The sequence below is a fragment of the Homo sapiens genome, chromosome 3 (genome assembly GCF_000001405.40).
Source record: "Homo sapiens chromosome 3, GRCh38.p14 Primary Assembly".
NCBI classification, from domain to species: domain Eukaryota; kingdom Metazoa; phylum Chordata; class Mammalia; order Primates; family Hominidae; genus Homo; species Homo sapiens.
The window spans coordinates 42,868,804-42,891,277 of record NC_000003.12 but is presented as its reverse complement, the minus strand read 5'-3'; the positions used below and the strand labels follow the sequence as shown (position 1 = coordinate 42,891,277).

Here is a 22,474-nt window from a genome sequence, read left to right as displayed (position 1 = left end):
GCTGGAATGTAAGAAATGCCCACCAAGGGTTTTGCCTAGGCCTTTCCTGGGCCTTAAAGCATTACAAAATAACAAAGGAATTCTTAATAGGACCCATTTAGAATTAAAAAAGTTTTACCGGGGATCTGAAGGAACTCCCCAAACCTCTGCGATTTAGCAGGAGACCAGATAAGGGTAATTACCTCCAGCACCTGGACCCATTTAGATTAAGTAAATTTACTGAGGCTCCAGAGGAAGGTCTTCAAGACTCAGACCTTAGTTATAGATTAAAAGAAGCTAATCACTTATGTCTTTAGATGAATGCACACTTACACGTAGACATATAGCTTAGAAGGTATATAAGCTTTGGAAAACTTTGTAATTTTGAGTTGGTCTGGCAATAATTTCCAGGCCTTCTCCCTGTAACCGGTTACAGAAATAAAAAAACTCTCTTTCTCCCCAGTTCATTTGCATCTTGTTATTGGGCAGCGAGAAATAGCAGCCCGACCCTCAGTTTGGTCTGGGAACATTTCTTCAACTAGTCTTTCTGCCTCTTTCTTTCTCTCTTTCCTTCTGGTATTCACATTATGCATATGTTTGTCTGCTTGATAGTGTCCCCTGGGTCCCTTAGGCTCTGTTCACTTTTCCTTTTTTTTTTTTTTAATTTAAGACATTTATTCAGCATCACCATTAGGCTATTGCATTTAGCAATCAATATCATGGGTGCAAAAAATAAAACTACATTAAAACCCTTTGTTGGAATGCTTTACACTTTCCACAGAACAGAAACTAAAATAACCTGTTATGCAATTATTCACAAATACACTCCTCAAGCTTTTTGCCCATACACATGAGCATTTGTCTAAAACATGTCTTCTTTGTAGCAGCTAAGCCCTGCCATCACCATGCTTGGCTGAGTTCACAAATCTGTTGTAACCTGTAGCTTCCATCACTTCTCTGGCTCCTCTGTCTTACTAAGCTTTGTTTCCTAATTAAAATCTTCTGCCACTGACATATCTACTGCTGCTACTGGAACCGCCATAGCCACCTTGGTTTTGTGGTTTGGCAAAGTATTGGCCTCCACCACCATAGGGGCCAGAGCTTCTGCCTCCAAAGTTTCCTCCCTTCATGGGTCCAAAATGTGAAGACTGATTGTTGTAATTGACAAAATCATTGTAGCTTCCACCACCTCCATCATTACCAAATCCATTATAGCCATCCCCCTGCCACCATATCCACCACCACCATGGCTGCCACCAAATCCACCATGACCACTGAAGTTTCCTCCACGACCAAAGTTGTCATTCCCACCAAAACCACCTCCACGACCACCACCAAAGTTTCCAGAACCACTTCGACCTCTTTGGCTGGATGAAGCACGAGCCATCTCTTGCTTTGACAGGGCTTTCCTAGCTTCACAGTTGTGGCCATTCACAGTATGGTATTTCTGAATGACAGTCTTATCCATGGAGTCATGGTTGTCAAAGGTTACAAAGGCAAAGCCCCTTTTCTTGCCACTGCCTTGGTCAGTCATGATTTCAATCACTTCAATTTTCCCATACTGTTCAAAATAATCTCTTAGGTGAAGTTCTTCAGTGTCTTCTTTAAGGACACAAATATTTTTTTCACAGTCAAGTGGGCACCTGGTCTTTGAGAATCTTCTCTTGAGACAGCTCTCTTTGGTTCCACAGTTCTTCCAACCACCTTGCATGGCCTTGCATTCATGGCTGCATCCACCTCCTCCACAGTGGCACATGTCACAAACCCAAAGCCCCTGGAGCGCTTGGTGTTTGGATCTCTCATTACCATGCAGTTTGTGAGCATTCCCTATTGCTCAAAATGGCTCCTCAGGCTCTCATCAGTTGTTTCAAAGCTCTACCCTCCAATGAAGAGCTTCCTCAGCTGTTCGGGCCCTTTAGGAGACTCTGACTTAGACATGATGGCAGGGAGAAAAGAGACTTTAATGATGCTTCTTCGGCAGTGTCCACAGGCAAAGGAACAAGCTGATGAATTTATCTGCCAGCCTCTCTGTTCACTTTTCTTCATCCTTTTTTCTTTCTGTTCCTCCAGTTCAATAATTTCAATCATCCTATCTTTAAGTTTGCAGATTCTTTATTTTACTTGCTCAAATCTGCTTTTAACCACCCCCACCCCCATCCCAGTGTATTTTCCCTTTTTGTTATGATACTTTTCAGCTCCAGAGTTTCCTTTAGGTTTCTCCTTATCATTTCTATCTCTATTGATATTCTGATTCTAATTCGTACATTGTTTTCCTCTTTGTCCATGATTACCTTTAGCTCTTTGAGTATCTTTAACCCATTTCCCATTTGCCGTGAAAATATTCCCCAGTGGCCCTTGCAGTGCAGTGAATACACCACAATAACTCATGGATTACAGTCCTAACCTTACCCCCAAATTCTGCCCACTTATTAAATACTGTCATCATATACATTTCTGTTACATTAGGATTAGAAAAAAGTTCTGTTTGGAAATAACTCCAAGAACAGTTTTTATACTTTATTTTCACATTGAAGATCAGTCTGATTTGCTTCAGCCTCAAAGAGTGTGTTTATGTAAAATTAAATGAGTACTGGCGGCGAGCTGCAATTTTTTTCTAAACGAGAAATGGGTTAAGACAGTCATTCTAAAGTCTTTGTCTATGAAGTCCACTATCTGGGCTTCCTCAAGAACATTTCTTATTGATTTCTTTTATTCCTTTGAATGAGCCATACTTTATTGTTTCTTTGTATGCCTTGTGATTTTTTTTGTAGAAACTGGACATTTGAATTTTACATTGTGATAATTCTGGAAATAATATTATCCCACTTATCCCAGGGTTTGACTTTTAAGAAATATTTTAGAGTGTCTGTGCTAGGGATCATCCTGAGGTGAAAGTTTAAGGTCTTTTCTGAACCTATGTCTTTCCCTGGGTATGCACACATGGCTTCTAAATTCCCCCATACACACAGTTGTTTTTGAATGTAAAAAAAAACAAAACAGGCGGAGAGGTGGCTCATGCCTGTAATCCCAGCACTTTGGGAGGCCGAGGCAGGTGGATCACGAGGTCAGGAGATCGAGACCATCCTGGCTAACACGGTGAAACCCCATCTGTAGTAAAAATACAAAAAATTAGCCTGGCATGGTGGTACATGCCTGTAGTCCCAGCTACTCAGGAGGCTGAGGCAGGAGAATCGCCTGAACCCGGGAGGCGGAGGTTGCAATGAGACGAGGTCACACCACTGCACTCCAGCCTGAGCAACAGAGCGAGACTCCATCAAAAAAAAACAAAACAAAACAAACAAACAAAAAACCCAAAGGTGCAGCTCCTTTTAATGTTTTAATGCCCTAGAGACTGCTTCAGCCAATGGAGGTGAACCAATGGCAGCCAGCCTCTGTAGCTACACCTCATTGATAAGAAGCAGCTATCAGCAATTATAACACAGAGCCCCAATATCTGGAGGACAAAGTCCTAATTTCCCACTCTGGCTTCAGCAAGCCATGTCAGAAACATGTCATGGCTGCCTGCCATGGGACTTATGGGTGGGTATCCAATACAAGCTGAAATCAACCAATATTAGCCACAATTTACCAACCAACCTTTCCTTTGGAAGCTGCAAGTATTCAAATTGATCCCAGAGTTCCAAAATAGTCACTTTAGACAGTTCTGCCAGTACAATGCTCTCTAGGTGATGAGATGGATTTTTGGTGCTTCCTCTTCCACCAACCTCTCTGCTCAGAAGTCCTCAGTAGTTCTCCACCGCCTGTCAAATGAGATCCATGCCTCAGGTGAATTCAAGACACCCCAGAATAGGCACCAAGCCATCTTTCCAACTGTTTGCCAGATCCTACTGCACAACTGTCACAAGGATGATAGCGATCGACAGGAAGGTAACATCACACATGGACAAAGGATACTAATCCAATCTCTTCATGGAAAGTCATGCTTTCCTGGCCCTCAAATTCCCCATGAAGGTGCATGATTGCTAAAGATACTGCTTGATTGCAGTGGAATGCAGTGGAAGTTCAACCAAGTATTTTACAAAGTTCTCCTTGCCTTGGGTTGCAGGGGGTGGGGGGACTTAGACTCTCCAAGCTACTCTAGAAACTATGGCATTAAGATCACATCATTTACACTTGCAAATGCATTGGTCCCCTCGTACCTGCAATTTCACTTTTTGTGGTTTCAGTTACCCACAATCAGCCATGGCCTGAAAATATTAAATGGAAAATTCCAAAAATAATTCATGTTTTAAGTTGCACGCTGTTCTGAGTAGTATTATAAAATTTCACACCACTCTGCTCCATCCCACTGTACACCAAAAGTATCTGAGAAAGGACTTAATCAATTTTGAAGTTTATTTTGCCAAGGTTAAGGACATAACCCAGGAGACAGGTATGTGTCTTTTTCCAAAGATGATGTTGAAGTCTTCAATATTTAAAAGGGAAAAGCAGGCTGCAGGGGAAAGACAGAGGTTATGGTCATTACTGAATCCACATGTAAGAGAAAAGGAGCAGGTAGGGGAATATTTAATTATGTATTCATCTCATGCTAAGTAAATCTGCAGGTTACATAAGATAAGGTGAACATAGAGTAGCTACCTGTGGAGATTTTTTACCTTTTATCTGTAACTATCTGCTTAGGAACAAAAGGAAAGGCAACTTCTTGCATGACTCAGCTTTTAGCTTGACTTTTTCCTTTCAGCATAGTGAATTGGGGTCCCAAGTTGTTATTTTCCTTTCACACCACCCAGGACATGAATTATCCCTTTGTCTAGCATATCCACACTGTATATACTACCTGACCATTAGTCACTTGGTAGCCATGACAGTTATCACATTGACAGATCACAATAAGAAGGGTGAGTACAGTACAATAAAATAGTTTTAGAACGAGACCACATTCACATAGCTTGTATTACAACTTATTGTTATAATTGTTCTCTTTTATTATGAATTATTGTTGTGGATCTCTTACTGTGCCTAATTTATAAGTTAAACTTTATCATAGATATATATGTATATGTACAGAAAAAAATATAGTATATATAGAGTTCAGTACTATTCATGGTTTTAGGCATCCACTGGGGATCTTGGGATGTATCCCCTGCAGACAAGGCAGGACTACTGTAACTACTAACAACTCTAATTTTCTTGAGGGTTTGGTGTGCATGTGGATTGAAGGTTAGTTTCCTGGATAGCATGTTCATTAGAGTTATAGTCTTCAGGCCTGCCTGAGTTGTACCTGCATTGACATATCAGATGAACTGGACTTTCTTCTTCAAGCACATCTCACCACCTCTTTAGATGCCTTTCTCCACAGAGTTGATAGAAATGAGACAGCCAAATGCTGCTCAGGTCATTGTGCACAGGGGGCTTGCCTAACATGCCCACAGCGAAGAATTCTGTCCCTTAACACATGTGCAGTAAGGGAAATAAATCAATGTGGAGTGGCTCAGACTAAGGGCCCACCTGTGCACTGGGAGACTGGGGTGTAGCCACCGGGAATTCACACCTTATGCGGTGGGGAGAAGCCTGGCCTCTTCAGCTGGTGTGTGGTGGCCTGGTATTCAATCTGTGAGGTGGGAGCCTGTTGGCAAGACCCTCTTTTTTTTCTCTGAGCTTCTTATCAATAAATTCCACTCTCCTCACCTTTCAATGTGTCCATGTGCCTAATTTTTCCCAGTCGTGAGACCAGAAACCAGATTTTAGCTGAACTAAGGAGCAAAAAATCCTCATCAGCGTTTGCCTGAAATACCTTACCTTTCCATTCACAACCTGACCCTATATATTCTTATTAGCCCAACTCAAATGGCTTATTTTTATAAACCCCTTTCTGACCCTATTCCCTTTCCCCCAACAAAATGTGACACTGCTCTCAGAATCCATTGGCATTTGGCTCATACTGCTTTAGTATTGTACATTTGATATTACGTGCTTATCCCATTTAATCAGTGAGATCCTTGAAGGATGATTTAAAAATCCAATCAATCTTTGTCTCCCTGAGACTAAGATACTACCTTGCATATGCTTAAGCCTGCAATAAATTATTTGTTGCTATGAACTATGGAACTGTATATGGACAACTTGTTTCTCTAGCTCCAATTTCTCCCATTTTAGGTTTCTCTGACCCACTTAGCAGTAAAGCTGGCACAAACTGGCTGTATTAAATGTTTGGCTCTACCACTTAATAAATGTGTGCCCAAGGGAGAGTTCCTCACACTCTGAGCCCCATTGTTCTCATCTCTAAAATAAGACTGAATGCCTGCAACAGTAATCAGAGATGGAATTGGAGAATTATTCGTCCATTCAACAAACATTTATAGAGTATTTACTATGTGCCAGGCAATGTGCTAGGTCTTGAGGATACAGCAATGGACAAGACATAGTCCTTGATTTTAAAGAGTTTATTGTGGTGCCAGCACACACTGACTCAGGAAAGCTGATTATCACAGGTAGCAACTATCTGGGGCTGGTGGTGCAGGTGGTAAAGGAATTTACCAAGACAGCTGTAGGTAAAGAAAGACAGATTTATTACAGAAAGTATAAAAATATGTTGCAAAGTTGCAACAGGCAGCACAGCAGGAAATGGGCTGTCTACAATGAGGCAGGGGCTGGAGGGAAGTTTTATAAGGTTCTGCTCTTGGGGCCACTTGCGGACAGGACAAGTCATTGTGCCCACAGGTTATTTGTGATTAGCCATCTCTCAGAACAACTGTTCATTGTTCTTCCCCACCTGGGGTTCTCCCCTACCTAAGGTCCCTTCCTCATTGTTGCTTACTTATCAGGACTCCATGCTGACGATGCACATCTCTTTCCAACTCCTCCTTCAGTGACCTTATATGGGTGCCTGAAATTGGCCAGGGGCAATGTATTTACAATATGAAACTGGCCAACTCTACCAATCAAGACTTTTTTTTCTTACAGTGCCAATTTACCAGCACACCACTGAGGAAGATTGACTTTTTCTTTTTATTTTATTTTATTTTATTTTATTTTATTTTATTTTATTTTATTTTATTTTATTTTGAGACAGAGTTTTCCTCTGCCACCCAGGCTAGAATGGAGTGCAGTGGTGCGATCTCAGCTAACTGCAACTTCTGCCTCCCAGGTTCAAGTGATTCTCCTGCCTCAGCCTCCCATGTAGCTGGGATTACAGGATGCGCCACCACACCCGGCTAATTTTTGTATTTTCAGTAGAGACAGGTTTCACCATGTTGGCCAAGCTGGTCTCAAACTCCTCCTGACTTCAGGTGATCAGCCCGCCTCAGCTTCCCAAAGTGCTGAGATTTCAGGTGTGAGCCACTGCGACTGGATGAAAATTGATATAGAGAATAAAGAAAGACACTAGATCATTTCACATAATTATAAATGTTTTGATGAAACTAAAATAGGTTAATGATACAAAGTACTTTAAAAAGAGACTACTTTACATAGAGTAGTCAGGGAGGGCCTTTCTATAAGGTGTAATCTGAGTTGAGGCAGTGAATAATTGAAAGAAACCAAGCGAGGCATACAGCACATCCCTGTAGTCCCACCTACTTGGGAGGCTGAGGCAGGCAGATTGCCTGAGGCCAAGAGTTGGAGGCCAGCCTGGACAACATAGTGAGATCTTATCTCTTAAAAAATGAATAAATAAAATAAACCAGTTGTATTAGTCCATTTTCACAGTGCTGATAAAGACATACCCGAGACTGGGTAATTTATAAAGAAAAAGAGGTTTAATGGACTCACAGTTCCACGTGGCTGGGGAGGCCTCACAATCATGACAGAAGGCGAAAGGCATGTCTTACATGGTGGCAGATGAGAGAATGAGAACCAAGCAAAAGGGGTTTCCCAGTACAAAATCATCAGATCTCATGAGAATTACTCACTACCACGAGAACAGTATGGGGAAACCGCCCCCATGATTCAATTATCTCCCACTGGGTCCCTCCTACAACAGGTGGGAATTATGGGAGCTACAATTCAAGATGAGATTTGGGTGAGGACACAGCCAAACCATATCACCAGTCATGCAAATAGCTAAGGAAAGAACATTTCAGGCAGAAAGAACAAAGACAAAGGACTTGAGGAAGGCCCTGGGACTGGCAATATGGCAGCGGATGAAGAGCTGAAGTTCTGAAGTAAACAGAGTGATTAGACTCTTGGTTGTACCACTTGCTAGTTGTGCAACTCTAGACAAGTTACCAGCCCTTGAAATCTCAATTTTCTCCTCTGTAAAATGAGGGCATTTTTGCTTCATATGGTTGGGTGCATAAAATCACTAACATAGCAAGTCAGAGACCCAAAAAAAGGCCTGCTTGCAAGGTAGGCCCCTGGCTAGTGTCTGGGAACTTCACTTTCAAAGTGCGTCCAGTCAACACTTAACCAATAAGAGTAGTTCGTTATGCCTTGACTATTTGTACAAACATGATTTATAATGAATATCTGCTTTCCTTCTAGGAGTCTGGAATTTTGGTATGTGCTAGGCAGAAGGTGCCTACATGACCAGTCCCCCGATAAAAACCTTGGGCACTGACTAATTTTTGAGCTTCCCTAGTTAGAAACATGGCACATATGTTGCTGCGTTTCCATTGCTAGGAGGAGTAAGCTTTGTGTGATCTCTCCTGGCAGGGAGAAAGAACTCGGAATCCTGCACATAGATTCCTCCAGACTCCACCTATGTCTTTTTCCCTTATGATCTGGTTATGTATCCCATCAGATGGACAGGCAGAGAATTCTGGCTCTTCCTCAGGCAGAGGCTGGCTTGCCCGTGGGAATTCAGCCCACGTGGCTGCCCTCCCCACCCTCCCAAGGGGCTAGGGACCAGCAATCCAGTTGTAATCAATCTTAGTCATGATTACAACTGTATTCTGAGTCCTGTGAGTTCTTCTACGGAATCTCTGAACCGGGTTGATATAAGGGTTAGATGGCAAAATACGTGAATTTCGTGTAATATTAGCTCAAGGTAAGTTCTCAAAATAAGAATGGTGATGGTGTTGGTGGCGATGGAAATGATCAGCATAGAGCCATCCCCTGGCTAGAAGCTCAATGCCAATCATTCCAATTCCCACCCTATCCCTCCACCCTCTCACACTATATGCCCTCGTTATCTCTTGGCAAATTAGTGAATGTACAACCCAATACCTTTATAATAGCATCTCACTGCTGGCGAGTACGTCAAATTCAGTACCTCTTATTTTGACACATCAGAATAAAGGTCCAGAAGGGTAAAACAAAATGTTCTGGGTCATGCCATAAATTGGTGGAAAAGTTGGGACAAGAACCCAGGTTTGCCTTTTATGTCCTACACTGGTTCTACGACAACCTGGTATATGTGATTCAGGCTAGCAGTAAGCATAGTGACCCTTGAGTCAGGCTGTCAAGAACCCAGGCTGCCATGGAGGGGGTTCCTTCCCCTCCAGGAAAAACAGAAGGAACCTGGAAAGCTAGAAAGAAACAAAAAGGAGCCATACATAAGCCCTAAGTGAAACGATTATTACCTGCTCTAAAGGCAGGGTGAAATAATTTCTCCCCTGTATTTCCATTTCAATGGTACTACTTACTGCTGGGGGCGAGGCAGTGAGCAAGAGGTGGCACATACTGGGGGAGCAGTCAATATCATCCAGAATTAGAAAAAGGGGCAAACAAGACTCAGGGAAGAGCTAGTGCATCCGGACTAGAGAACCCACAGCGGAGAACCCCAGTAAAGGAACCACAGCAGATAAATAGAATCCTCAGGTCAGTGCCCAGTTGCTCAAAATTCTGGGCCATATATAGAATGAGAAGTCATGACATCAGACAGGAACATGGAACTACTAGGGCCCAGTGTAAAAAACTCAATCCACTGTCCTGCCCACCATGGAATGTGCAAATGAGGTTAGCAATAAAGGAGCTAACCCCCAAAACCCCCCAGGACAACCAAAATGATGCTCTTGCCGGGCTTATGCCGTGAAAACTGCCAGGGGCGTGGGCCGAGGGGTAGTGGTGGGTTCAGCGCGCGAGTCGGAAACAGCTGCGGTGGGGAAGGAAGAAAGCAGCGCCATCAGCACGTCCTCCCGTTGGCCCGGAACCACGCCCTTACTGGGGGCTCAGCCGCCGAACTGACACTCACCGCTCCTGAGCACAAAGAAGGTGCGAAGTGCCGCAGAGCGACCGCCAGAGGTCAGCAACACACTGCCTACTCCCCGCCGCGCCTCCCGGAGACTCCCTCGCTGAGGCTTCGGGGGCCGGAAGTGCACCCGCCCCTTTCCCGAGCGCCCGCGGGCCCTCTGGCTGTCCCGGAGGCCGCCTCCGTGTGTCTTTGGTCCTACCTGGCCCCCTAGCCCACCATCGTAACCCCGCCCCGGCCCCTGACAGTTCCCGGACCGAAGGGGCGAGGAGGGGACGTGCCGCCCGCTCCCGGTGTTGGCTTGAGTTGCTGGTCCCCAGCCCCTCGGGAGGGAGAGGAGGGCAGTCCCGTGGGCTGACTTCCCAGGGGCAAGCCAGTCTCCTCCCGAGGAAGAGCCCGTATTCCCTGCCTGTCCATCCGGCAGCCCTGCGTGGCCCCCGTGGGCTGGCCCCGGACACAAGCGTGGCTGGGCCGGCTGGCGTGAGAGGGGTTCAGTGCCACCGATGTGTCAAAGTCCTAACCCGCACAGAGCCTGCCGGTTCTGCACCCTGTGGAGATTCTTCCCCCTTCTCCGAGTGCCCTGGGCTCATTGGCCCCAGGGTGGATATGCTCTCGGTACCTTGGGACCACCCTGCTGCATCCCCTGACCAGCACCCCTCTTCGGCCGCTAGCACCTCCACCACACACAACACACATTGACTGGGTCTTGTGGTCCTCCAGGCCTCCGCTGAATCAGTGTGGCCCAATCAGTGTGGCCTTCCTGACTGCCACCTCCCTTCATGCTCTGCTCTTCTTTGCAGCATTTGTCACAATTACAGCCATACCGCGAAGATATTGCGGGTTGGGTTTCAAACCTCCATAGTAAAATGAGTCGCACGAATTTTGTTTCCGGGGAATATAAAAATTATGTTTAGACTATACACCATTAAGTGTGCAAAAGCATTATATCTAAAATACATATATATACCTTAATTTTTAAAAAAAACTTTATTGCTAAAAAATGCTAATGATCATCTGAGCCTTCAGTGATTCCTGTCTTCACCCTGGACTGATCAGGGTGGTGGTTGCTGAGGGCTGGGGTGGCTGTGACAATTTCTTAAAATAAGACAACAATCAAGGTTGCCGCACCAGTTGACTCTTCCTTTTAGGAAAGATTTCTCTGTAGCATGGAATGCTGTTTGATAGCATTTTACCCACAATAGAACTTTTTTTCAAAATTGGAGTCAATGCTCTCAAACTCTACTGCTGCTTTACTAACTTTATGTAATATTCTAAATTCTTTATTGTCATTTCAACAGTGTTCCCAGCATCCTCGCCAGGATTAGTTTCCATCTCAAGAAACCACTTTCTTAGCTCATCCGTAAGAAGTTACTCCTCATCCATTCAAGTTCAATCAGGCGATTGCAGCAATTCAGTCACATCCTCTGGCACTACTTCTAATTCTAATTCTCTATTTCCACCCATCTGCAGCGACTTCCTCCACTGAAGCCTTGAACCCCTCAAAGTCATTCATGAGGGTTGGAATCAACTTCTTTCAAACTCTTGTTCATGTTGATATGTTAACCTCCTCCCATGAATCACAATTGTTCTTAGTGGCTCTAAAATGGTGAGTTCTTTCCATAAGGTTTTCAATTTACTTTGCCCAGATCCATTAGAGGAATCGCCATCTACAGCAGCTATAGCCTTACGAAATGTATTTCTGAATACTAAGACTGAAAAGTTGAAATTACTCCTTGATCCATGGGTTGCAGAATGGATGTTGTGTTAGCAGGCATGAAAACAACATTCATCTCTTCGAACATCTTCCTCAGAGATCTCAGGTGCATTGTTAATGAGTAGTAATACATTGAAAAGAATCTTTTTTGTGAGCAGTAAGTCTCAGCAGTGGGCCTAAGTAAACCATGCTGCAAACAGATGAGCTGCCATCCAGGCTTTGTTTTGTTTGTTTTGAGACAGGGTCTCACTCTGTCGTCCAGGCTGAAGTACAGTGACATGATCTTGGCTCACTGCAGCCTCAACCTCCCAGGCTCAGGTGATCCTCCCACCTCAGCCTCCCAAGTAGCTGGGACCACAGGCATGCACCACCATACCTGGCTAATTTTTGTAGAGACAGGGTTTCACCATGTTACCCAGGCTGGGCTCCAAGCTCTGGGCTCAAGCAATCCACTTGCCTTAGCCTTCAAAATTGCTGGGATTGCAGGCGCGAGCCACCACACCTAGCCTTGCTACTTATAGAGTACAGGCAGAGTAGATTTAGCATAATTCTGAAGGGCCCTAGGATTTTCAGAATGGTCGTGAGCTTTGGCTTCAACTGAAAGTCACCAGCTACCTTAGCTCCTAAAAAGAGAGTCATCCTACCCTTAGAGGCTTTGAAGCAGGGCATTGACTTTGCTCTAGGAAAGTCCTTAGATGGTCTCTTCTTCCAATATAAGGCCGTTTCATCTACATTAAAAATCTGTTGCTTAGTGTAGCCATCTTCATCAATTATCTTAGCTACATCTTTTAGATAACTTGCTGCAACTTCTTCATCAACACTTGCTGCTTCACGTTGCACTTCTATGTTATAGAGATGGCTTCTTTCCTTAAACCTAATGAACCAACCTATGCTACCTTCAAACTTTTCTCCAACTGCTTCCTCATCACTTTCAGCCTTCATAGAATTGAAGAGAGTTAAAACATTGCTCTGGATTAGGCTTTGGCTAAGGGAATGTTGTAGCTGGTTTGATCTATGCAGGCCACTAAAACTTTCTTCATATCAGCAATAAAGCTGTTTTTCTTATTATTCATGTATTCACTAGAGTAGCACTTCTAATTTCCTTCAAGAAATTTTTTCTTTTGCATTTACAACTTGGATAACTGTGTAGTGCAACAAACCTAGATTGCAGCCTATCTTGGCCTTCCTCACTAAGCTTAATCATTTCTGGCTTGTGATTTAAAGTGAAATTTAAAGTGATTTAAAGCGCAGCTCTTCCTTACACTTGAACACTTAGATGCCATTGTAGGGTTATTAATTGGCCTAATTTCAAAATAGCTGTGTCTTGGGAAACAGGAAAGCCCAAGGAGAGATAGAAAGAGGGGAGAACAGCTGGTCAGTGGAACAGTCAGAATACACACAACATTTACCAATTAAGTTTGCATCATATATGGGCCCAGTTCATGGTGCCCCAAAACAATTACAGTACTAACATATCACAGATCGCCATAACAGCTGTAATGATAATAATGAAAAAATTTGAAATATTGTGAGAATTACAAAATGTGACACAGAGACACAAAGTTAGCACACACTGTTGGAAAAATGGTGCCAATAGTTTTCCTCAATGCAGGGTTGCCACAAACCTTCAATTTGTAAAAAACATAGTATCTGTGAAGTGCAATAAAGCAAAGCACATTAAATGAGAAATATGTGTATAATTACTTTGGGCAGTGATTTAATATCTTTCTCCCTCCATTAGACCATAAACTGCAAGAGAGCAGGGACTGTGTCTATCTCATTCATGATTATAATCCCAGATCGTAGCAACATTTCTGCCAGTAAGTGCCCAATAAATATCTAGTGAATGGATAGATGGGGCTTCTCCAAGGAAGGAGGGAATGAATAGATGAGTGTGGGTTAATGAATGAGGTAAGAATGAATGTGAAATAATGGTTCATCCATTAAAAACTAGGGGACACGGTTCAGTTCATTGGATTTGGCCCAGTTTCAGACCGAATTCTAAGGTTGAGGAGAGTTGATGATGCCAAGTACTGTGGTGGTCCTGAACAATTAAAGAGGGATTCTGGGAAGCAGAGTGTGGACAGTTCCAACTCCCTGCCAAGGGGAAGCTCATAGGCAAAGGAAGCTCACTCCAGAGGGGATATGGAAGTTCCATACCCTCTTTTGTCTGAAGAGCCGAAGTCCCTGTTCTCAGGTCGTTAGGAAGTTAAAAAGTAATTTGGAGGTTATCAGAACTGATTGAATTGAGTTTGAACCTCACCTATAGCAACAATGGGCCAGGCTGCTTGACTAATGCCTTGGCGTCAATGGTACAGTTTTCTCCCTCTTGAGCTGCTGGCAGGGACCTGGGCTGACATGTCTCAGAAGGCCCTTAGTCAATGATTAGCTTATCTCAAGGCCCCAAGCCAGGGCAGCTGTCAAAGAGGGTCCCCACTGCGTTCTGCACCTAGATCCTCATTGTGAAATGAAGTATGAAGTGATTGAGTGAGGTCTCTATTGTCTCTGACATTTTACAATTCCAGGATTCTGCCTTCTTGTCAGAGAAGTGTATAGGCAAGCAGTTGGGCAGGTGAGAGGGCTCCGGGTGAGAGGCTCAGAGACTGAGGGCTCAGCCTCTGCTTGAAGAGTCATCATCTGGGAGGCTCTGTGGCCTCCTCAGATGAGTTCATTCACACTCATACCCCAAGATGGAGTCAACACCCCCTCCACCATCTCAGCCTTCTCAGCATCTAAAGCCCCAGCATCAATGCCTCTTTTTTTGGGTTAGGGGTCAGAGCTGTTGTGGAAGGGCATACAGTCATTCTTCACTTGCCTTTGACTGTGTACTCTGTGCACATGGAGGTAGGAGCAGACATGACTTCAACAAGGTCATGCCCCCTTGGCAAGCATCTTTGAGACCAGAGAGGAAGACAGACTAGGGAAAGAATGAGGAGATAAGCACGGGCTGCTGTGAGGTCCAGGGGAGCAGGCAAAGGTAAGAGAAAAGGCTTTAGGATACTAACTAACATATATGGAGCACTAGCATGAGCCAGGCACTATTCTAAGTGCTTTTCAGGTGTTATCTCTTTTTGCCTCACAACAGCACCTACAAGGCACTGTAATTATCCCTACTTCACAGATGAGGGAGTGGAGCCACAGTGAGGTTAACTTACTTGACCAAGGGGGCCAAGTAGGAATGGAGGCATTTGTTGAGTCTTCTAAAGATGAGGAAAGAGTGGAAGTGAGATTTTGTAAGTGCTTGATTCATTTCTACCAACTGAACTGGCAAATAAATAAAAGCATGAGTAAATGGGGGTATAAATAGTCTGTCAGCTATGGGGGTGGGAGTGGGCTCAAGGCAGGCTTAGAGAGAAGGTGCAAGAGCTGTCTGAAAAGGTCAGAGCAAAGCATGAAGCTGGTGAGCAGCTGTGACCATAGCTGGAAGCTTCTCTCTGAGCTTTCTCCTGGTTACCTCCTCCTCCCCTACGTGACCAGTCAGCCAAGTGTTAAGTCCAGGGGAACATTTTGCTGCTTCCAAGTACTGTCTCACTAGTGTTATTTGCCATAACTTGCGGCCACAGGGCAAGGTCCAGGTGCTCAGACCTTTACATCCTGGACTTTCCAAGGCCTCCCAAAGCTCTCTGGCACCCAGGGAACAGTGTGCGTGTCGAGAGCTTAATCCGCAGGAGCATAGCCATGGTTCTCTGGGGTCCAGTGCTGGGAGCTCTGCTGGTGGTCATTGCTGGATACCTGTGCCTGCCAGGGATGCTCCGACAACGCAGGCCATGGGAGCCCCCTCTGGACAAGGGTACCGTGCCCTGGCTTGGCCATGCCATGGCTTTCCGGAAGAATATGTTTGAATTTCTGAAGCGCATGAGGACCAAGCATGGGGATGTGTTCACAGTGCAGCTAGGGGGCCAGTACTTCACCTTCGTCATGGACCCCCTCTCCTTTGGCTCCATCCTCAAGGACACACAGAGAAAACTAGACTTTGGGCAATATGCAAAAAAACTGGTGCTGAAGGTATTTGGATACCGTTCAGTGCAAGGGGACCATGAGATGATACACTCAGCCAGCACCAAGCATCTGAGGGGGGATGGCTTGAAGGATCTTAATGAGACCATGCTGGACAGCCTGTCCTTTGTAATGCTGACGTCCAAAGGCTGGAGTCTGGATGCCAGTTGCTGGCATGAGGACAGCCTCTTTCGCTTCTGCTATTACATCTTGTTCACAGCTGGCTACCTGAGCTTGTTCGGCTACACGAAGGACAAGGAGCAGGACCTGCTACAGGCAGGAGAGTTATTCATGGAGTTCCGCAAGTTTGACCTTCTTTTCCCAAGGTTTGTCTACTCCCTGCTGTGGCCCCGGGAGTGGCTAGAAGTGGGCCGACTCCAGCGTCTCTTTCACAAGATGCTCTCCGTGAGCCACAGCCAGGAGAAGGAGGGCATCAGCAACTGGCTGGGCAACATGCTTCAGTTTCTGAGGGAGCAGGGGGTACCCTCAGCTATGCAGGACAAGTTCAACTTCATGATGCTCTGGGCCTCCCAGGGGAACACGGGGCCTACCTCTTTCTGGGCCCTCTTGTACCTCCTGAAGCACCCAGAAGCTATTCGGGCTGTGAGGGAGGAAGCTACCCAGGTCCTGGGTGAGGCCAGGCTGGAGACCAAGCAGTCCTTTGCCTTCAAACTCGGTGCCCTGCAACACACCCCAGTTCTAGACAGCGTGGTGGAGGAGACGCTGCGGCTGAGGGCTGCACCCACCCTCCTCAGGTTGGTTCATGAAGACTATACCCTGAAGATGTCCAGTGGGCAGGAGTATCTGTTCCGCCATGGAGACATCCTGGCCCTCTTTCCCTACCTCTCAGTGCACATGGACCCTGACATCCACCCTGAGCCCACCGTCTTCAAGTACGATCGCTTCCTCAACCCTAATGGCAGCCGGAAAGTGGACTTCTTCAAGACAGGCAAGAAGATCCACCACTACACCATGCCCTGGGGTTCGGGCGTTTCCATCTGCCCTGGGAGGTTCTTTGCACTCAGTGAGGTGAAGCTCTTTATCCTGCTTATGGTCACACACTTTGACTTAGAGTTGGTGGACCCTGACACACCACTACCCCATGTTGACCCGCAGCGCTGGGGTTTTGGCACCATGCAGCCCAGCCACGATGTGCGCTTCCGCTACCGCCTGCATCCTACAGAGTGAGCTTGGCCAAGCCAGCTGCAAACCTGGCCAGAGGAGTTCTATTGCATCTCTCACCTGTTCTCACCCCTCTGCAGCCCCAAGACCCCACTGGCCACCCCTCCCTCTGGTCCTGTGGCACCCCCTACCTCTGTTCTGCCTGTCCTCGCTCTCTCCCCGCCTAGTCATCTGACAGGCTTATCATTCTCTTTAAAATACCATCTCTCAGAGTGGGTTCTGCCGAACCCTCCTCTCACAGGAAGTCCAGAGGAAGGGGGAGTATCTGTGGGCAACTTGGTTTGGGAGATGATGCCTGCCTTGAGAAGTCCTGAGTACAGAGACTGGTTCCCCCCAGACACGAGTAACATGGCATCTTGCAAACATCAGCCTCCACTCTCCCAGCTTGCTTTAGTTTTTTCAGCAACACTTATCCCACATCCTATGGAATTCAGGTTCTAGAACAGTGTCATCCAACATAAATATGAAGCAAGCTACATGAGTAGTGGGGTTTTTTGGTTTTGTTTGTTTGTTTTGAGACAGAGTCTTGCTCTGTCGCCGAGGCTGCAGTGCAGCGGTGCGATCTCTGCTCACTGCAACCTCTGCCTCCTGGGTTTAAGCAATTCTCCTGCCTCAGCCTCCCCAGTAGCTGGGATTACAGGCACCTACCACCTTGCCCAGCTAATTTAGTTTCCTGGTAAACACATTTTTAAAAAGTAAAATGAAACAATTCATTTTTATAATATACTTTACTTAATCCAATATATCCAAAATATTGGCATTTCAACGTGATCACTATTAAAAATTTTAACGTAATAGTTTTTACCTTCCCTTTTTCATCCTGTCTTCAAAGTCTGGTATGTACTGTACTTTTGCAGTTCTTCCCAGTTCAGACTAGCCACATTCCAAGTGCTTAATTGCCGTGTGTGGCAGGTGGCTGCCCTATTGGATAGCACAGGTCTAGAGAAATGATACCTTTTTTTTTTTTTGAGACAGAGTCTCACTCTGTTGCCCAGGCTGCAGTGCAGTGGTGTGATCTTGGCTCACTACAACCTCTGCCTCCCGGGTTCAAGTAATTCTCCTGCCTCAGGCTTCTGAGTAGCTGGGATTATAGGTGCGCACCACCACACCCGGCTAGTTTCTGTATTTTTAGTAGAGACGGCGTTTCACCATTTTGGCCGGCCTCCTCGGCCTCCCAAAGTTCTGGGATTACAGGCATGAGCCACTGTGCCCAGTCAGGATGTCTTTAATGTAGGAATCATTCAAGATCCCTCCTCAGTGCCCATGTCTCCCCCACCTCAGGGTGCTGTCAACCCTCCCTTGGTTTCCATGATCATTGCTGAACTCAGAGCTTTCTTCTATCCCCAGACCCACATGGGAGTCTCCCAGCACCTCTGACTCAGCTTGGCCAATGCAGAACTTGGCATCTGAACCCCTGCCTCTTCCCTGAACCACTCCTCCTCCTGATTTCCCTGCTCTCTCTGCTCAGAACACTACCATTCACCCCATCTCCCAGAGACACTCTCCCTCCTCCTCTTTCACCTTCATACAAGCAGGCCCCCGTCCTATCAGTACACCCCCCTGTGATGCCTCTGAAATATGTACCCTCCTCCCCTCTCCTACTGTCATTCTTATACCTGTGATCTCTGCGTTTCTCTTCTACACTGCTGCCAGAGGCCTTTTTGCCAAAAGCACTGCTGATTGTCACTCTTTTACTTTCCTGGTTCCCCTTTGACTTCACACACTTGACGTTTACATTTTGTCACAGTTGGTCCCCCTTGCCTTCACATACCTGATGTTTAAATTTTGTCACGGTTAGTCTCCAAACTTCTCAACTTTGCCAGCTTTCTCCAATGAAACCATCAGTAGAGACATTGCTGTTCCTGCCCATCCCAGTGCCAGCTACTCCTTCCTGGAAGCCTTCCTGGATTTCACGCATCCCATCCTCTGGCCAGAAATGGCCTCCGAACTGTGCAGCTCCTGCAGCACCATTTGTATCATAGCATATCTGTTATGTGTCGTTGCTTTCTGTGTCTTGGTTTCTGCCTGCTGCCCACTTCCCTAGACTGGAGCCTACTGGGGCATGGTATTTTATTCATTTCTGACCTCCAATTCCCTAAGTGGAGATTAAATGTTAGAAACCTGACTTCCAGTCTCGGCTAATTTACTTTCAGTCCTCAAATCATTTCCTGGCCTCAGCCCTCCAATCTATGAAATGAAGACAATCCCCCTTCCCAGCGTGCTTATCAGTGCTACAAGAGGGTGAGGGGGTGGCTGCCATAGCTGCAGCTGGCTGATGGCAGGGCTCCAGCTGGAGCTGGGACAGGAGGAAGAATGACTGTGGGAGCTGGATAGAGTGTCTTGGAGGAGGTGGGCCCAGGCTGCATGGACCCCCCGACCCAGCGACCAGCCAGTGGAACTTCTCTCTGCTACTTTTATCTTACATCTCTGGCAGCCTCACATTTCTCCTGAGGCTGGCTGCCTGTTCTGCTCTGCCAGGAGAGTAGGCAAGGGCCTGAGCTGGGGTGACAGTCTGTCTCCAACTAGCTATGTGACCCTGGTCCAGGGCCTGCATTTCTCTGAGGTCAGCTGCCCGCAAATGCTGATGTCTGCCTAGGGCTTGATAGAGCTCTGCCTGGTTAGGAGAAGCTGAGATATCCCATCCTATTCTACAAGGACCAGGAGCACAAGGAGAAGAGTTGAGTAGGGGGCATAGAAGGAGGAGAAATGGGCTGGAAGGTGGAAGACTATCCATGGGAAATGTACCAATGACATCTCTGCCCAGCCAGGCCCTGTGCCCAGTACAATGGGGCTGGGGCTGTGGGGAAGCAGGAACAGAGCCTTAACACACCTCCTTGGCCCTCCCTAGACCTTGGTGCTGTGTCTCCTTTTGTGCCTCACACCCAAAGGAATATGGGCCAGGAGAGTGGCCTATGGATTGGCTGGGGTGAGGCTGAGGGCTGGAGTTCCCTGAGTCAGGACCAGAAGGTCTCAACTGAGAGTGACCATGTGCAGATAGGAACTTAATGGACCCTGTGGCCTGTCTGAGAGCTCCAGAGGAGATGCTTGGGACCTAGAGAAGCCTCAGCGGGTGAGGTGTGAGGTGAATGCAAGTGTACCATCCCACAGTCAGGGATATCCAGCATAACAACAGGCCTCCCAGGAAGCAAGAGCCCCCCAGGATTGGAGTGTGGGCAGGGATCCCAATGCCCCATGCCCGCCTGCTTGCATGGGAGGGGCCCATGGGCCATATAGCTCTCTGCCCCCTGCATGAGGACTGCTGCAGCCAACCCTGGCAGAGGCCTTGAGGCAGGAGGAAGACTGCGACCGCCAAGGATGCCTCTAGTCACCACCCACCCAACCTGGTCATTCTGTCCCCAATTCCTCATTTCTATGCCAAATATTTTCTTCCTCTCATCCTTTTCCTCATCAGGACCTCAGAGGAAAGCCCACTAAATGCGTTCTCTCTGAAGATAGTTTATAATAAAGCAAGATCGGGGTGGCTTTCCAATGGTGGAATTTCAGGCACCTGGGAAAGAAAAGAGATGCTTTTCTCATAGAGAATTAACTGGAGTCAAAACATCACATTTCGTGGCGTTCAGCACAGGCAGCAGCCCTGCCCACAGGCAAAGCAACTTCTACACTTCTCCCTAGGTTGGCCCATGGGAAGAGTCCACCTTGCCTCAGAGCCTGAGGGTCAGAGGAATTCTGATTGCTTTCCTGAGACCCCTGGGAAAGGTTTGAGCAGTGCAGTCAGGGAGCCAGACTTTGTCAGGCCTCTGGGAAGACAGAGAGCAACAGGAGGGACCAAGGCCCAAACCCGGAAGTAAGGCTGGGGTGGAGAGGGCTTTATCCTGGCCTGGGCTGTGAGAGCTGCTGAGCTGCTCTCAAACTATATTGCACCTAAGACAGTGACAGAGAACCAGGTACCTGCAGCTAGCTCTTGCCCTCTCCTTTGGACATAGGCTTCAGGGCACTACTTGTTATATTCCTGCCTTTTGCGGCAAGTACACACTCACACATACACAGAGAAAGGCATGAAAGACAAATAGGACTGGGCGAAGTGGCTCATGCCTGTAATCCCAGCACTTTGGGAGGCCGAGGTGGGCAGATCACTTTAGCTCAGAAGTTTGAGACCAGCCTGGCCAACATGGCGAAACCCTGTCTCTATTAAAAATACAAAAATACAAAAGTTAGCTCATGCCTGTAATCCCAGCTACTCTGGAGGCTGAGGCACAGGAATTGCTTGAACCTGGGAGGCAGAGGTTGCAGTGAGCTGGGATCATGTCACTGCACTCCAGCAAGACTCCGTCTCAAAAAAAGAAAGAATAGGAAAGTTGCAGGCACATAACCAGACCCACTTGGACACAGTGATACAGCTGCATCATAACCACATACACAACCATATATACTACACACAGCCCACATAGCACACGTACTTCCCAGACAGATAGACACACACACACACACACAAATCCACCAATGCTGGTGTGACAAGCCCTGCTGGGTGTCCCTTGCTTGACATCCTATCTGTGCATCATGGGCACAAAGTCAGGGCCTCTGAGCACCTAGACCCTGTTGGTGCAGCTCAGGCTGTATCTCACCAGCCAGGCTGGCATACGAACAGAAGTTCCTTGTAGGACAAGATTTCCGGAGCTCTAAAGTAGAATTCCATCCTCCGCGTCCTCAAACAAACATCCACCTTCAGATCTAGAGCTTCATTTCCCAGGGAACTAGGAAGCTCAGAGTCCTTCCTCATGGTGGGGAATTGGGGGCCTTGAGGAGAGAGAACTAAAGGCAGAGCTGAGAGAGATTGGATGTGGGGAAGGCACAGGGCAACTGGTGCTACATCAAGAGACTGCCAGATAGCATGTGACACATGTGCTATAACTATGCCATCAAAAGCTCAGGGGAAGAGAAGAAATAGCGGGCAGAATACTGCTTGCCTGCTCAATCCTCTATCAGCCATTCGCTCCAAAAAACAAAACAAAACGAAACAAAAAAACTTATCCATTCATTCCAAAAAAAGTCTACTATGCTCTGAGCATGTGTTGAAGCACAGGGGATGCAGAGTTTACACATGGCAAAGTCCCTGCTCTCATGGAGCTTACATTCACCCAGCCGTCTGTTCTCCTACCCTCCATTCCATCCACCAAAAAGTTTCCTTTCCTGTGTGCCAGGTTCCACGTTCAATTGTGCAGGGCAGACATGCTGGGACGTGGGCAGGTTGCACCAGGTAGTTCTATGAGGTGGGAAGAGCAGTGGGTGCTTTAGAAGCTCGGGAGAGAGAGATGCCATGTGGGCAGGCAGCTCCCTGGGGAAAGGCTTCTCAGTGGATGTGTCAGGGGGCAGGGAGAATGCCAAGCATTAGAGATATGAAGAGAAAAGCACTGGGCACAGTATATCAGTCAGGAATCTTTAGGTTGCAAGTAACAAAACAACATGACTCCACAAGGAAAGGAATTTATTGGTTCTTGTAACTGTCGAATCCAAGATTGGGACTAGCTTCAGAAGTGCTTTGATTCTGAGGCTCA

At 46.5% G+C, this 22,474-nt stretch overlaps 1 protein-coding gene and 1 pseudogene across 1 annotated transcript, besides 4 other annotated features; one reads left to right on the top strand and one right to left on the bottom strand.

The window, feature by feature from the left end:
* Positions 1-674: 674 nt before the first annotated feature.
* HNRNPA1P22 (heterogeneous nuclear ribonucleoprotein A1 pseudogene 22) lies at positions 675-1,997 on the bottom strand (annotated as a pseudogene).
* Positions 1,178-1,678: an enhancer, noted in NCBI's record as "H3K27ac hESC enhancer chr3:42931092-42931592 (GRCh37/hg19 assembly coordinates)". NCBI's record gives its function as "activates a minimal SCP1, AML or CMV promoter by ChIP-STARR-seq in naive H9 embryonic stem cells {active_cell/tissue: H9 hESC(naive)}" and the evidence as "EXISTENCE:reporter gene assay evidence [ECO:0000049][PMID:30033119]".
* Positions 9,919-9,968: a silencer, noted in NCBI's record as "silent region_14252". NCBI's record gives its function as "represses an Ori minimal core promoter by ATAC-STARR-seq in GM12878 lymphoblastoid cells {active_cell/tissue: GM12878}" and the evidence as "EXISTENCE:reporter gene assay evidence [ECO:0000049][PMID:35858748]".
* Positions 10,007-10,301: an enhancer, noted in NCBI's record as "tiled region #13936; HepG2 Activating DNase unmatched - State 4:PromP, and K562 Activating DNase unmatched - State 1:Tss". NCBI's record gives its function as "activates a minimal TATA promoter and a strong SV40 promoter by Sharpr-MPRA in HepG2 and K562 cells {active_cell/tissue: HepG2 | K562}" and the evidence as "EXISTENCE:reporter gene assay evidence [ECO:0000049][PMID:27701403]".
* CYP8B1 (cytochrome P450 family 8 subfamily B member 1) lies at positions 15,399-19,086 on the top strand. Its single transcript, NM_004391.3, has one exon. It carries the CDS (start codon positions 15,462-15,464, stop codon positions 16,965-16,967), a length of 1,506 nt encoding a protein of 501 aa, NP_004382.2. The 5' UTR covers positions 15,399-15,461; the 3' UTR covers positions 16,968-19,086.
* Positions 15,960-16,136: a silencer, noted in NCBI's record as "fragment chr3:42916634-42916810 (GRCh37/hg19 assembly coordinates)". NCBI's record gives its function as "represses an EF-1alpha promoter that drives an FKBP-Casp9 reporter gene in an ReSE screen in HepG2 liver carcinoma cells {active_cell/tissue: HepG2}" and the evidence as "EXISTENCE:reporter gene assay evidence [ECO:0000049][PMID:32094911]".